Source organism: Homo sapiens, chromosome 19 (genome assembly GCF_000001405.40).
Source record: "Homo sapiens chromosome 19, GRCh38.p14 Primary Assembly".
In the NCBI taxonomy this organism is placed as follows: domain Eukaryota; kingdom Metazoa; phylum Chordata; class Mammalia; order Primates; family Hominidae; genus Homo; species Homo sapiens.
The window spans coordinates 4,100,333-4,115,976 of NC_000019.10; the positions used below are offsets into that span (position 1 = coordinate 4,100,333).

General features: G+C 56.8%; 1 protein-coding gene across 3 annotated transcripts in view, besides 2 other annotated features; it reads right to left on the reverse strand.

Moving 5' to 3' along the window:
• The window catches only part of MAP2K2 (mitogen-activated protein kinase kinase 2), a 33,802-nt gene that overhangs the window by 10,012 nt on the left and 8,146 nt on the right, over nucleotides 1-15,644 (reverse strand). For 2 of the 3 annotated variants that reach the window (NM_001440688.1, NM_030662.4), the window contains exons 3-6: nucleotides 10,177-10,323; nucleotides 2,044-2,121; nucleotides 897-948; nucleotides 687-811 (exon numbers count right to left, since the gene is read on the reverse strand). In NM_001440688.1, the coding sequence (NP_001427617.1) occupies nucleotides 687-811; nucleotides 897-948; nucleotides 2,044-2,121; nucleotides 10,177-10,323 (402 nt within the window). Of the gene's footprint in view, nucleotides 1-686; nucleotides 812-896; nucleotides 949-2,043; nucleotides 2,122-2,484; nucleotides 2,875-10,176; nucleotides 10,324-15,644 lie in introns of those variants that run through there. The other variant, NM_001440689.1, reaches the window with a different exon arrangement.
• Nucleotides 9,014-9,143: an enhancer, noted in NCBI's record as "active region_13757". NCBI's record gives its function as "activates an Ori minimal core promoter by ATAC-STARR-seq in GM12878 lymphoblastoid cells {active_cell/tissue: GM12878}" and the evidence as "EXISTENCE:reporter gene assay evidence [ECO:0000049][PMID:35858748]".
• Nucleotides 14,898-14,947: an enhancer, noted in NCBI's record as "active region_13758". NCBI's record gives its function as "activates an Ori minimal core promoter by ATAC-STARR-seq in GM12878 lymphoblastoid cells {active_cell/tissue: GM12878}" and the evidence as "EXISTENCE:reporter gene assay evidence [ECO:0000049][PMID:35858748]".

Here is a 15,644-nt window from a genome sequence, read left to right on the forward strand (position 1 = left end):
GGCAGGAGAATTGCTCCCGGGTGGGAGGCGGAGGTTGCAATGAGCCAAGATTGTGCCATTGCACTCCAGCCTGGGTGACAGAGCAAGACTCTGTCTCAAAAAAAAAAAAAAAAAAAAAAAAAAGAAAGAAACCTGGTAGGCACTGCTAGAGACAAAAACCTAAGAGAGAATTCCAACAGGAAGGGGAGATCTGGCCGGGCGTGGTGGCTCAGGCTCACTGCTAGTGGAATCCCAGCACTTTGGGAGGCTGAGGAAAGAAGGTCACTTGAGTCCAGGAGTTCATGAGCAGCCTGGGCAATACAGCGAGACCCCGTGTCTACAAAAGATTAGTAAATTAACAAATAAAAAATAAAGAGCAAGGGGAATCCGAAAAGCAGGCTCCCAGGAGGCACCAGCTTTAGACGTGCCTTGTGGCAAGTGGGGAGAGCTGATGAAGGGGAGGGTGCAGCTGGGGTGGGACTGTCCCGGGGGTGCTAACAGCCATGTAGGAGTGTGTGCCCACGAAATAGTTGGGAAAGCCTCGTGGGAGGCGGGGAGAGCTGCGCAGGAGAACTGGGAGGGACAGCTGCGCAGGAGACATGGGGGTGAGAGCTGAGGGGGAGAGCTGGCTGGCAGAGCTGGGTGGGGAGAGCTTGGGGGAGAGCAGCAGGGAGGAGAGCTGGAGGGGAGAGCCAGCGGGGACTCACAGCCATGTAGGAGCGCGTGCCCACGAAGGAGTTGGCCATGGAGTCGATGAGCTGGCCGCTCACCCCGAAGTCACACAGCTTGATCTCCCCTCTAGAGTTCACGAGGATGTTGGAGGGCTTCACATCTGGAGGCGGCAGGCTGCGGGTGAGGGGCGCCCAACAGTTGCCTGCCGGCCCCCGGGGCTCTGGGGAGGGCGGGCTGGGCCTTACCTCGGTGCATGATCTGGTGCTTCTCTCGGAGGTACGCCAAGCCCCGGAGAACCTGCAGGGGAGCGCGGAGGGAGTCACGGGACAAGGCCACCAGGGCTTAGCTCCTGACCGAGCCCGGGGGTCAGAGCTGAGCAGTCAGAGCTGGAGCGAGGGAGCTGCGGCAGGAACCATTTCAGGCTGTGAGGAGCTCGCTGGGGTGGAGCAAGCGAGGCCAGAGACGAGACAGTGCTGACAGCCCTGTGCTGGCGTGTGCAAGTCAACCCCGGTTCCCATGGCCGCAGTGCCGCCGATGCCACTACTGCCTTTGATTCAGAGCACACGGCTTAGCCCCAGGGAAGCTGAGATGGTGGCCCATGGCCCGGGAGTAGGCTGGGCTGCCGAGTTTGCCCACATCAGCCTGAAAGGCAGCATCTGGGGTCCCAGGGACTGTGCTAAGGGCCCCCAGATGGGACGGGCTAAGGGTGCCTGGGAAGGACGATGTTTCCCCCAGGCCCGCCCTGGAAGCAGCATCCCGAGAAGTGAAGCAAGCAGCACAGGCAGTGTGACGGCAGCTTTCAACTCGGAAACGCGTGTCTGGCAGCATGCGTCCTGTGTCTTAATCCAACACTGGTATGGGCAGGCGGGACTCGGCCCCTGCTATGGACAAGGTGCAAGCTCCAAGAAGCAACACGCACGGTCTGCTGAAACCACACGGCTCTACGGAGCAGCTGTGCTGGAGACCGGGCAGCAGAGACGCCCTTGGCCCCGGTGACATTTCTAACAGCAATGGTGAGTGTGTCTGGAGGTCCTGGCGTCCCACATCCCACCCCAGAGTCTCCCTTTCAACAAGCTCCTGTCCCCTGCAACGTGCCAGCTGCCAACATCCCCCTGCCACGAGGGGCAGAGGGGACCAGTGTGGCAAACAGAGGATACTAAGAGTGAAGAGGGACCTATAACGTCTTCACTTGGCAGATGGTGACCTCAGGCCCCAAAAGGGACGTCACTTGTTCAAGCTCCACAGCAGGTGGGCACAGCCTTGGCCACTCTCTTTCTGCAGGGGCCACCCTAACCCCCACCACACTGTGAGTGGCTCCCGGAACCCTGGCCGTGTGGAAGAGGTCCGTGCAGAGTGCGGTGGGGGCGCGATGTGGGTCTGCGGTGGACTCACCGCGATGCTGACTTTCCCCAGGATCTCCTCGGGAATCCTCTTGGCCTCTTTCAGCACCTGGTCCAGGGAGCCGCCGTCCTAGAGGGCACACAAGGAGTGAGTGCAGGCTCTGCGCAGGTGGCCGGGAAGCCACGGATGCGTCCCCCCACTCCCGGCGAGGGGGTGGTCTGCCTCCTGACGGGAAGCAGGGGCCGGAGCCCAACTCCACCCACGGGCCAAGGGCAGGGCGTCTTCTGACAGTTCTGCCTTTGGGTCTGAACACCCACCCACAAGGTGGGGAAGGAACAGGGCCCAGGGTTCCCCCGCCTCCCGTCCCATCCTCGAATCAGTTGCGTGACTCGGCCCTCCTGAGGTCGCCACGGCAGAGGCTCTGCTCCGGGCCAGCCCAAGCCGCGGCCGGGGGCTCAGGCAGCTGTGGGGCCCGCACTCCCTGCAGCCTACGTGGTGGGCTTGTCTGTGCGCCACGGGAGGCGGCCAGGCTGGAGACCAGCGTCTTGGGCCTGCGTCCTCTTCCCAGCACACGAAGGGAAGGGGAGGGTGAGGGCGCGGAGGAGACGCGGGTGCTGCCCCGCGTGGGAGGAGGCGGCGGGTCGCTGTGTGCCCGTCCAGACCCCCAGGGGGCTCCCTCGCCAAGCCCTGCGGCTCCACTGCTGGGCGTCTGCCCTGCGCCTGTCCCTGCCACCTAGGGCAGAAAGGCCAGGCCGAGTAGGACCAGGGGCCAGGGGGTGCATGGACTGCAGGAGGGATCCCAGTGACGCCAGCCCAGGTGACGGTAACCTCGGCCCCTCCCCACAGCCTGTGGTCTCCTCGCCACTGTGCCGGGCATCCTGCGGAGGGCCTGGAAACGAGTCATCATGGGTAGGCTGGTCCCCGGGTGTGGCCCCACATCCATGTCATAAATGATGAAACAGAAATTCCATGTCTTGCCCAAGGCTGCCTGGCAACAAACCTGGGGACCAAAACCCCCAAATGCCAAAACCCCAGGCACTGGGAGCCACCCAAGGTGCCTCTTCAGAGGCAGAGGCTCCGGACACACCTGCCAGGCCACCCCCAGGACAGCAGGGGTGACAGGCCAAGTTCCCACTGCCACCGTCTGGCGTGCGTCTCTTCTGTGCTCAGCAGAGAGGAAAGTGGAACTGAGGCTAGAGAGGGCGGGCTGGAGGAGCCTGGAGAGGCTGGCTGGGGAGCCTGGATTTCCCCACCATGCTGCTCCAGGACTCCTGCAAAAGCCCAGCCTTCCCTGGGATGGCTTTCATTCACATGGGTGGGAGGAGCCGGGGGAGAAATCCTGGGACTCAGGGGTGCCCGGGTTGCCGCTCTCTGGCCACTTCTGCCCAGCTAGGCTTGGAGAGAAAGGCCGAAGGCAGTTCTAGAAAACCCAACACGCTTTGAGACCTCTAAAGCATACACGTGACTCCATCCACCAGCTCCAGGCTGAAGACGCAGACACACAGGGTGAGAGGGCAGGTATGGCCAGGGCTCAGACAGCCCAGGAGGAGGTGCCAGGACGGGAGCTCCAGTGAGCCAGGGCCAGGTGGAAGCTGCTTCTATTCTCAGTTTTTATCAATCTACCTTAAAAGAATTACTTAAAATGAGGCCGGACATGGGCTGGGAGCGGTGACTCACGCCTGTAATGCCAGGACTTTGGGAGGCTGAGGCAGGCGGATCACTTGAGGTCAGGAGTTTGAGACCAGCCTGGCCAATATGGTAAAACCCCATCTCCACTAAAAATAAAAAAAATTAGCTGGGCGTGGTGGTGGATGCCTGTAATCTCAGCTACTCGGGAGGCTGAGGCAGGAAGATCACTTGAACCTGGGAGGCAGAGGTTGCTGTGAGTCGAGATCGTGCCACTTCTCTCTCGCCTGGGCGAGAGAGCAAGACTCCTCAATTAAAAAAAAAAAAAAAAAAAGCCGCACGTGGTGGCGCACACCTATAATCCTACCACTTTGGGAGGCCAAAGCAAAAAGAATGCTTGAGCTGAGGAGTTTGAGACCATCCCGAGCCACACAGTGAGACCCCATACCAAAATCAGCCGGGCGTGGTGGTGCACGCCTGTAGTCCCAGCTACTCAGAAGGCTGAGGTGGGAGGATCCCTTGAACCTGGGAGGTCAAGGTTGCAGTGAGCCGAGATCACACCACTGCACTCCAGCCTGGGTGACAGAGCAAGACCCTGTCTCAAAAAAACAAAAACCAGAAAGAGACCAACGACTCGAAAGAGGCAGGGTGGCGAAAACCAAACAGACGCACCAAACGCAACCCTAAAACCCCTGCTCCCCAGCACAGCTCCTTCCGTCTTCGTTTCTCCTGGGGCCGCAATCAATGTTTGTTTAGTGAGAAAATTCAAAGAGCCTCTCCCCGGAGATGAGGGCGGGCGGAGCGCTGTGCTGCAGCCTCAGGAGCTGGTGGAAGACGCCTCACAGGAGCATCGCTCTCTCTGCAGCCGCCTTTCTCCACTGTGACATCGGGGCCAGGTCACTCTCTGGGGTGGGGCCGACCTGGGCACTGCAGGGCGCTGAGTAGCGTCCCTGGCCTCCATCCACTCCACGCCAGGAGCATCCCCCAGTTGTGACAACCACACACATCCCCAGACAGTGCCAGGTGTCTCCTGGGAGGGAGAACTGCCCCTGGTTGAGAAGGGCTGATCTCCAGCTATAAAGACCAAAGTCTGGCAGGGTAAGCAATTTGTCTGAGTCACAGAGACAGGATGTGGTGCAGGGGGTATTGCAGCTGTGTACTGCTGACCCCAAATCTCACTCTGTGCATGACCATACACGTCTACCGTGTGTGTGTGTGTGTGTGTGTGTGTGTGTGTGTGTGTGTGTGTGTGTGATGTTTAAAATGGTCTTGTAACTGTAATTTTGTTACGTAGGTAGTAGGTGAACACATTTTTCTTTCTTTTTTTTTTTTTCCTGAGGCGGAGTCTCGCTCTGTTGCCCAGGCGGGGGTGCAGTGGCACCATCTCGGCTCACTGCAAGCTCCGCCTCCCGGGTTCACGCCATTCTCCTGCCTCAGCCTCCTGAGTAGCTGGGACTACAGGTGCCCGCCACCACACTCGGCTAATTTTTTGTATTTTTAGTAGAGATGGGGTTTCACTACTGGTGTTAGCCAGGATGGTCTCGATCTCCTGACCTCGTGATCCGCCCGCCTCGGCCTCCCAAAGTGCTGGGATTACAGGCTTGAGCCACCGCACCCGGCAAACACATTTTTCTTATAAAAAATTCAAATGAGGATAAATAACCTGGACGCCGCATCACTTCCACCATTCCCCCCTCAAGTGTGACTTATATTGTTCCAGATCTTTCTTCATCTCTCTCTTTCTTTCTTTCAGGCAGGGGTCGCCCAGACTGCAGCATAGTGCTGTGATCTTGGCTCACTGCAGCCTCCACCTCCTTGGTTCAGGCAGTCCTCCCACCTCAGCTTCCCAAGTAGCTGGGAGTACAGGCGCGCCACCATGTCCTGCTAATTTTTTGTAGAGACGGGGGTTCCTCATGTTGCCCAGGCTGCTCTCGAAGTCCTGGCTGAAGAGGTCCTCCCACTTCAGCCTCCCAAAGTGCTGGGATCACAGGAGTGAGCACCTGGCCCCCGCATCTTGCTGTGTATTTGGAAACACAGACTCGGGACTCACTCTCTTGCCCAGGCTGTAGAGCAGTGGCTCAATCATAGCTCACTGCAGCCTCGACCTACTGGGCTCATGGGATTCTCCCAAAGCACTGGGATTAAAGCATGCTTGCCCAGCCAGAGTTTAAAACAACATCGAAATGGGCTCATGTCTGTAATCCCAGCACTTTGGGAGGCCGAGGCAGGAGGGTCACTTGTGGCCAGGAGTTCAAGACCAGTCTGGGCAATATGGAGAGACCCTATCTCTACACAAATAAGCAAATAAATTAGCTGTGCATGGTGGCTCACGCCTGTGGTCTCAACTACTCGGGAGGCTGACGTGGGAGGACAGCACCAGTACACTCCAGGCTGGACAACTGAGCAAGACCCTGACTTGAAAATACAATAAACAAATGAATGGGCCAATGCTATGTTTATTTTATTTTTCTTTTATTTTGAAATGGAGTCTTGCTGTCGCCAGGCTGGAGTGCAGTGGCATGATCTCGGCTCACTGCAACCTCCGCCTCCCGGGTGCATGTGATTCTCCTGCCTCAGCCTCCTGAGGAGCTGGGACTACAGGCGTGCGCCACCATGCCCAGCTAATTTTGTATTTTTAGTATAGATGGGGTTTCACCATGTTGGCCAGGATGGTCTTGAACTCTTGACCTCGTGATCCGCCTGCCTTGGCCTCCCAAAGTGCTAGGATTACAAACGTGAGCCACTGCACCCAGCCCATGCTATGTTTATTTTCTACAACCACCCCTCCACTACATGAATAGTGTTGTACTGTGGGGATACTCCCATTCAGTACACCATTGTGGATTTCACTTTGCCACTGCAAAGCAGCCAAATATCATTCTTTAATCACTCCCTTACTGATGGACATGTCCAGTTTCCATTACAGTAGAACAAGACGGGCATTCTTCAGCAGATAGGACGAGACCCCCAGAAAGGCCAAGGGGCACCTCTACGAGGTCCGTAAGCCACTGGCTCTCCTTTCCCCATCCCATGAGGCCCCACTGTCCACTGGGTTCTTGCCCCGAGTTATCCAGTAATAGGTTCAGACCCCAGGGAAGCAGCCAGCCCCACTGTTCCTAAGTTCCAGTCACCAACAAGTGCTTGCCATTTTATATAAATACATCACTGGGCACGGTGGCTCACCCCTGTAATCCCAGCACTTTGGGAGGCTGAGGCGGGAGAATCGTTTGAGCCCAGGAGTTCAAGATTAGCCTGGGAAACATAGTGCCATCCCATATCTACAAAAAAACTTGCCGGGCGCGGTGGCTCACGCCTGTAATCCCAGCACTTTTGGGAGGCAGAGGCAGGCGGATCACGAGGTCAGGAGATCGAGACCATCCTGGCTAACACAGCGAAACCCCGTCTCTACTAAAAATACAAAAAATTAGCCGGCTGTGGTGGCGGGCGCCTGTAGTCCCAGCTACTCGGGAGGCTGAGGCGGGAGAATGGCGTGAACCTGGGAGGTGGAGCTTGCAGTGAGCCAAGATTGTGCCACTGCACTCCAGCCTGGGCGACAGAGCTAGACTCCGTCTCAAAAAAAAAAAAAAAAAAAAAAACAAACTTAAAAAGCTACTCAAGCGTGCTGGTGCACCTGTAGTCCCGGCTACCTGGAAGGTTGAGGCAGGAGGATCGTTTGAGCCCAAGAGGTGGAGGCTGCAGTGAGCTAGGATCATGCCACTGCACTCCAACCTGGGTGACAGAGAGAGACCTTGTACCCCCTACCCCCCACAAAAAAAGAAGGAAAAAAATGCAAAATAAAGATGACATAGAAATATGAGGAAACAGCGTAGAAATACAGGGAAATGGCTGCAGCAGCCAGGACATGGATGCAACACCTGTGCGTGCCGGGTGCCATCCTGGGAGGAGCTCACACAGTCCTCACCCCAGCAGGGACTACGACCTCCCTCAGCTTCACAGCAGAAGCGGCAAGAGTCCTGTCCCGAACCCGTGGTAAGGGTGAGCGGTGGGGCCGAGACCTGACCCGGACGCCCATCCTCAGCCCCGGTGCTAAGCTGCCCCTTTGCCTCACTGGGGTGGCCTGGGAGGGAATGAATCAGGTGCTGGGCAGGCCCTTCCATGGAAACCTATGGGCACTCAGGTGAATTCCGAGAGCATCGTTCAGCATGGAGAGAATTCACAGGGCCGGCGAGGATGGCAGGGATGGCCCCCTTGGATGACTTTACTTCCACGGATGCTGCCCTGTCAGGGCTCACCCAATGCTTTAAAAATCAACGTGCTCCACGTTGTTTTTGTTTGTTTGTTTGTTTTGAGATGGAGTCTCGCTCTGTGGCCCAGGCTGGAGTGCAGTGGCACGATCTCAGCTCACTGAAAGCTCTGCCTCCAGGGTTCACGCCATTCCCCTGCCTCAGCCTCCCAAGTAGCTGGGACTACAGGCACCCGCCACCATGCCTGGCTAATTTTTTTTGTATTTTTTTTTTTTTTTTTAGTAGAGACGGGGTTTCACCACGTTAGCCAAGCCAGAATAGTCTCGATCTCCTGAACTCGCCTCGGCCTCCCAAAGTGCTGGGATTACAGGTGTGAGCCACCGCCCCTGGCTAGACCACCTCGGAACTTTTAAAGGGTGCACTCCATAACACAGACAGCACGGCCTGTGTCTCCCTCCTGCAGCCTGGTGGTCTGTGTGGTGTCCCCTGGGGTGCCAGCACCCACTCTGGGAACCCCCATTTTAAATTCACCAAGAATAGAGGTTGGGGGCGGGTTGCCACACTGTCCCCTTTCTGCATGGGAGGAAGGGGGCTCGAGAACTGAGTCAGCCACACAAAACGAGGATGGACAGAACTCCTGAGTAGCGAGGGTGCCTGCCGGGCGCGAGGAGGAGGGGGAAGACGAGGAAGACGAGGAGGAGGAATAGGGAGCACCACATGACAGAGGGGCTGCCTCAGACCACAAAGCGCTTCCTCATCCTTTCCTCGCCCTTTGATGCCGCCGGCAACGTGACTCTGCGAGCAGCGGGGCAGACGCCAGGTCTCCCTCGCAGGCGGGAAAGGGGCTCCAAGGCGGGTGCTGCCTTGCTCGGGTCACATGGCTACGTGGGGGCCTTGCTCAAATTCACTTCCTGCCTTCATTACAAAACTGTCAAAGGGGATCGCACGTTTGCAGGGTGTCACCCAAGCATTCTGGTTTTGCAAACGACGCTGTGCGGCAGGCGGTCTGATACCTGATGAGCTCGGTGTGGCGGGGTCGGCAGCATTTCCTCCGGGGTTTTGAGCTCTGGCCACTTCTCCTTTTGTTCCACCCAATCTCACCCACTTCTGGGCTTCGAGGCCAGAGTGTCTTAACAAGGGGGCACGTCAGAGTCAATGAAGGGGGTGCCTGTACCCCACCCTAGAGACTGTGGTCCCACAGATCTGAGCTGGGGGAGGCACAGGCCTGCCTTGACAAGCTCAGACTGCCACACTTTCCTGAGAAGGCCATTTAAAAACAGTCATCAGCTTTGTTATGTTTTGAGACAGCATCTCGCTCTGCTGCCCGGGCTGGAGTGCAGTGGCGTGACCAAAGCTCACTGTAGCCTCAACCTCCTGGGCTCAAGTGATCTTCCCACCTCAGCCTCTCATGTAGCTGGTGCTATTTTTATCCCCATTTTTAAATGTTGTTAACAATTTTAAAACAGGCACGTGCCACCACACTCACCTAATATTTTAAATTATAGAGATGGTTTCTCACTATGTTGCCCAGCCTGGTATCGAACTCCTGGGCTTAAATGATCCTCCCACCTCAGCCTCCCAAAATGGTAGGATTACAGGCATGAGCCACCGTGCCCGGCCTAATAGGGATCAGTTTTTAATTGCATCTACCCTGGAACCCAGCAATTCCCTCACACAGCTTACCTCACAGGTGTGCCTGCGAGTCAGTGCCATGTTATTTGAGATAGGGCAGAGACTGGAAACAACCTACGTACCCCCCAAAACGGGAGTGTTTTCCCTCTCTGCTGTCATAAGGACGCCCGGGATACAGCAAGAGAAAAAGCAAAGCTGGGAGGAAGACATGAGTGCTTAAAAAACAAAATCATTGGCTGGGCGCGGTGGCTCACACCTGTAATCCCAGCACTTTGGGAAGTCGAGGCAGGTGGATCACCTGAGGTCAGGAGTTTGAGACCAGCCTGGCCAAGATGGTGAAACCCTGTCTCTACTAAAAATACAAAAATTAGCCAGGAGTGGTGGCGGGCGCCTGTAATCCCAGCTACTCGGGAGGCTGAGTCAGAAGTATCACTTGAATCTGGGAGGTGGAGGTTGCAGTGAGCCGAGATTGTGCCACTACTAGATTCTAGCCTGAGTGACAGAGTGAGACTGCCTCTCAAAAAAACAAAAAGAAAACAAAACAAAACCAAAGGCATCTACATATACATACTTGTATGGCATCGACTGCCTTGAGAAGGATCCCCTGGAAGCCAGCGCACTGTTGCCTCTGAGGAAAGGGGCCGTGAGGGGGTCTTCCTTCTCCCCAACATGCTCTGTTCCGTGGAGGCCCTGCCCCTGCCCCTGCCCCGGACGCACTCACCATGTGTTCCATGCAAATGCTGATCTCCCCGTCACTGTAGAAGGCCCCGTAGAAGCCCACGATGTACGGCGAGTTGCATTCGTGCAGGACCTGCAGCTCGCGGATGATCTGGTTCCGGATGGCCGGCTTGATCTCAAGGTGGATCAGCTGCAAGGGGAGAGGGGCGAGACTGGCTTGGGGGGTGCCCGAAAACGGGATGAAGGCATTTGGGGCCTCTGCTCTGCAGGCGTTCCCAACAGTGGTCAAGACCAACTCAGTACCCCCTCCGCAATTCCACCCCTAGGTGTCTGCCTAGAAGTGGACACATACGTCCACACAGAAACGTGTCCCAAGTGCTCACAGCAGCACGACTCACAGCAGGCAAGGGTGGAAAGAACCCAGGCGTCCACCCAGGGCAGAACAGGCCAACCCAGCGCAGCCCACCCCTCACTGAAACAGGACTCAGCCGTAAAGAGGAACCAGGCCAAGACCCCGGCCACAGCGTGGGTGAACCCTGAGGATGTCATGCTTAGTGCGAGATGCCAGACACAAAAGGCCACATAATATGTGATCCCATTTCTGTGAAATGTCCAGGACAGGCTGATCCAGAGACAGGAAGGGGATGTGTGGGTGCCGGGGGCTGGAGGAGGGGATGGGGGTGACTGCTGATGTGGACAGGGTTCTTTTTGGGGTGATGGAATACTGTAAAATTGACTGTGGTGATGAGGACGATGCCGTGAATATCCTACAATCCACTGAGTCACATACTTTCAAAGGGGACACTGTAAGGTATGTGAATTACACCTCAATAAACCTGTTTTCAAAAAAGACCAATTAAGCAAACACTTAATTCCCACTCAGTTGTAGTGGGAGCTGTGTGAAAGCATTTTTCCCCATCAAATCAGACTTTGACAAAGTGCTTGCCTTTCCCAGGAGGGAGGCAGGGCAATGGCTCCCCTCCAGGCCTCTCTCCACTTGGGGTGGGTCTATCCCGAGCCCCTTCCCACCCTCAAGCTGGAGACACCCCGTGGAGACGTTAGCCACACAGAGCCGCGGGCGCCCCTGAGAATTCTCCCTCTCCTTCAACCCAAGTTCAAGACGGCAGGGGAAATTTTCATCAAGTTGACCCCGGTGCCACTTTAAAAAGGCAAGAAGCCAAAGATCCGCTCAAGAGATGCAGAAAGGAGGCCTGGTGTGTGGCTCACGCCTGTAATCCCGCACTCCGGGAGGCTGAGGTGGGCGGACTGCTTGAGGTCAGGAGTTCAAGACCAGCCGGACCAACATGGTGAAACCCCGTCTCTACTAAAAATACAAATTTAGCCGGGTGTGGTGGCAGGCGCCTGTAATCCCAGCTACTCGGGAGGCTGAGGCAGGAGAATCACTTGAACCCAGGAGGCAGAGGTTGCAGTGAGCCGAGATCGCACCATTGCACTCCAGCCTGGGGGACAAGAGCGAGACTTTGTCTCAAAAAAACCCCCAAAAAAACAAAACAACAACAACAACAACAACAAAAACACCACGGGCAACCCCTAACCCCATGGACAAGCCCCAGAAGAGCCAGGACCCCCAGCATGGCAAGGAGCAGCCTGAGGCTTTGGGACGGCACCCTGGAGAATCACAGCATCCCGCTCCAGCCACTGCAATAAGACAAGAAAAAGACATGGTTTCCACTCATCCGCCACAGAGGCAAAGCCAGGCCCAGGTGCAGTCAGTGAAGGGGCGGCCAAGCACGGAGACAGCTCCTTCCTGGAGGAGACCTGGGGTCAGGACGGGAACAGGAATGGGTAAGACCACCTCAATGTGGCAAAAAGTCCACCAAGGAGAATCAACCCAGGTGCCTGGGGAGCAGCAACAAGGAGGTGACACTGGGGCCGGGCCTTGAGGAAGGACAGAGTCACCATGAGGAGGAGATGGGGGAGGGTGTTCCAGGCAGAGGGACAAAGAGCCGCCTGTCAGCGGGCACGGAGGCATGAAGGAGCCCTCGCTGTGTTCAGGGCAGCAGGAGGCTGACCGTGGCCACAGCACAGGGCGTGTGTGGGGAGTGGCCCCTGCTCTAGGCCTGTGACCTTGAGAAGCATGGCAGGGCCCGGGGCACGGTGCCCACCTCCCCCCGCCCGGCCGCTCCTCAGGCTAAGCGTCTCCCACCTTGACCGCAGCCCTGGCGCTGCCTGCCCCTGCCTGCCCGCCCCTGCCTGCCCCTGTAGCGCTGGCTTCTCCCCTCAGGCCAGCCTGCAGAATCCAGCTCCAGACGGTGGCCCCTGGGCTACTCCACTCCCTCATGGTGACCCCACAGGCCCCAGGGCCACCCCAGCACCCCAGGATGCTCTCCCCTCCAGCCAGGCTGTAACTGAGAGGTGCTGGTGCTCACTCCCGTTGCACAAGGGCCTGGTACTGAAGCTTGGATGTTCACGTGGAGGTTGGGAGATTTACTGGAAAAGGCCACATTTGTTTTCACACCGAGCCCTTGAAGCTTGGTGCGTGTTTTCCATGTTCAGCACGTCCGGACTGACCGCATTTTAAGAGCCCGGTAGCCACATCTGAACGGGGGCTGCTGTCTTGGACGGCTCAGTTCCTGACCAAAAACTTCAAAGGAGCCACAGATGGGTGACAAGAAGCAGGAAAGAGCGCGCGTTCGGCTGGCCGTCGCAAGTCGTAATTTAGGAGAGGAAGTGGCGGATGGGCTACTGGGAGGAATCCCAGAGGCCTTGGAACCCAGGAGCTCCGAACGTGAAATGAGGCCGTCGGAAGCGAGAGGCCTTCTGGAAGGCTGTAGTAAATAGCAGAGGCGAGGGAGGCCAGTCTGCACAGGGCGGCTGCGGCGTGATCTCAGTTTTAATGGTTCTGTAATACCTGGGGCCTGTCGAGCGAGCATTCCAGATAAACGGGCAGCCACCACTGAGGGTGTGCAAGGGGAAAGGCAGACAGACAGACAGATGGACAGGAGGGGAGGGGGCGTTCCTGAGCACCTGCACCCTCTAAAGTTCACCCTGACAAGCCCGGGGGATGGGTGTACTGCCCCACTGGTGCTGACTGAGCAAGCTCAGGTTCGGAGCCTCGGAGCCATGTTCCCAGTGGCATTAGCTGCTAAGTCAGGACTGGGGCTGCCTCGGGGAACACTGGAGCCCGTATTCTTTCCAGGACACCACAGCCCAGGCCGTGCCAGCTCTAATAGCTGATTAAATGTGGATGGTGTCAGGGTGTTAAAACTAAATGCCAGACCTGGCTCGGAGGTGGAGACGGTTGCTACAGAAGAATGAGGAATTTGAGCCAGGGGTGGGGTTGGGGGATTCGGAGTAGGAAAAGAGAGGAAAGAGCTTCACTGAGTGTCAGCGAGAGCAGGAGGGGAAGAGGAGGACCGAGCCGCCCCCCGGCCGCCACCCCGCAGGCCTGGAATGATCTCAGCAACCTCGTAAATCATGGATCAGAAACTGACAGCTCCCAAGCTGGATGTAGCCAAGAGTCACGTGCAGCCCACACTGCGCTTCCAAACATCCTGAATTAGGTGTTGTCAAAAATTGGAAGAGAGCCGGGGCAGTGGCTCACATCTGTAATTCCAGTGCTTTGGGAGGCTGAGGCGGGAGGATCGCTTCAGGCCAGGAGTTCAACACTGGGCAGCGTAGCAAGCCTTCATCTCTACAAGAGATTTTAAAAATTAACACACAGGCTGGGAGCGGTGGCCAGCTAGGGGACCGCAGTGCAGTGGATCTGGAGGCTCAGCCCCGGCAGCTGCTCCCAAGTCCGAGCAGATCCAAGAGGGTTCGAATCCGATTCAGGCACTGACCCCACACAGCCTCGGTTTCTTCAACTGTAAAACGAGGCTGCTGTTCAATTTTAATGAGAACACGCGTCAAAGGTGTTGGCAGCGGCTTCGACTCAGGTCGTCACTTGTGAGACAGCAGCTGGTACTGTGAGGTGGCCTTGGGCAGGCCGTGTGACCGCCACCCTGGAAGTAAGCTACAGCGGAGTGGAGGAACTCAGAGGCGAGAACAAACACTCTCATCTCTGCTATGAGCATGGACAATTCAAAGAAGCCCCACACGCGTAACAAGCAGCAAGTTCTTCACCTATCTCCCTGGCCCAGGTAACGCGGGGACGCTGCTCCAATGGGAGAGGGGTCAGAGGCCACGGTCAAGCCAAAAAGACATTTACAAACCAGCATGACCTCAAATACCGAGACTGGGCCAGGCGCGGTGGCTCACGCCTGTAATCCCAGCAATCTGGGAGGCCAAGATGCATGGATTCCTTGAGGTCAGATGTTTGAGACCAGCCTGGCCAACATGGTGAAACCCCGTCTCTACTAAAAATACAAACATTAGCCAGGCATGCCAGCCACTCAGGAGGCTAAGGGAGGAGAATCGCTTGAACCTGTGAGGTGGAGGTTGCAGTGAGCCGAGATTGTGCCACTGCACTCCAGTCTGGGTGACAGAGCGAGACTCTGTCTCAAAAAAATAAATAAATAAAAATAAGTAAATAAATAAGATGAAATGAAAGGAGCCCTTGCAGCCCTACCTGCATAGCAGCCAGAGCCGCTGAGCCCACGAGCTCAATGCATCCTCTCCCACCCGAGTTTTCGGGCACTTTAAAGAAAACCTAATTTTGAAAGAATTATAGAAGCACAGGAAGTTGCAAAAATAGTAACGAGAGTCCCGTGCGCCCTTTCCCCGCCTCCCCCAAGATGACTGACATCTTACATGACGGAAGGACAGTACTGACACCCAGAGCTGATGCTGGGACATCTCCACCCACCAGACCACAGAACCTGCCCAGCCACGCCTGCCCTCAGGTTCAAAGGCCCCGATCTCCCTTTCCCCGCTACAGTAAAGCTGCAGGTGGGCCCGGCTTCACCTGCGCCTGTCAGCAGGAGCAGGAGCTGCTGATACAGCAAGCATTGGGTTCATGTCCACTGCCCAGCCCATCAGGGACCACTGGAGGCTCCCCCAGAAGCCTGAGGGTCCCTGGCACACACGAGGACTGGCACTGTCTCAAGGCCCTGCTGTGGCTGTGTGAACCACACGCTTGCCTTTTTCCACCCAGTGCTTCGGGCGGAGGCGGACCTGAGCTTTCCAAGGCTGCTCCGGTTTGGAAGAGGCTGCCTGCAGTACGGGGACAGAAATAGCAAGTCCGCGGCTGCACACTTCAGGAGGGAGGGAGGGCAGCACTCTAGAGGCCAGAAGACAGAGCTGCAGAGCTAAATCCCCGCAGGAGTTGAGCCGCTGCTCCCGAGGAAGGCAGGGCCCTCAAGCACTGCTGCCACCTGCGCAGACCCACGGGACTAGGTGCAGTCACGTTCCCCCAGTTTGGGGAACTACAGGATGGTGGGCTTCCAGGAAGAGGCAGCGTTCTAGGTCTGAAAGAACACCGGTGAGGAGCTGAACACCCTGTCAACACTAAGTCCCCTACTTCTGTGTTTAAGAGCCACTGTCCCCAAGTGGTCACATCCTCCCTGTATCCCCTGGGCACTATTCTCAAACACAGAGCACAGAGGCTGC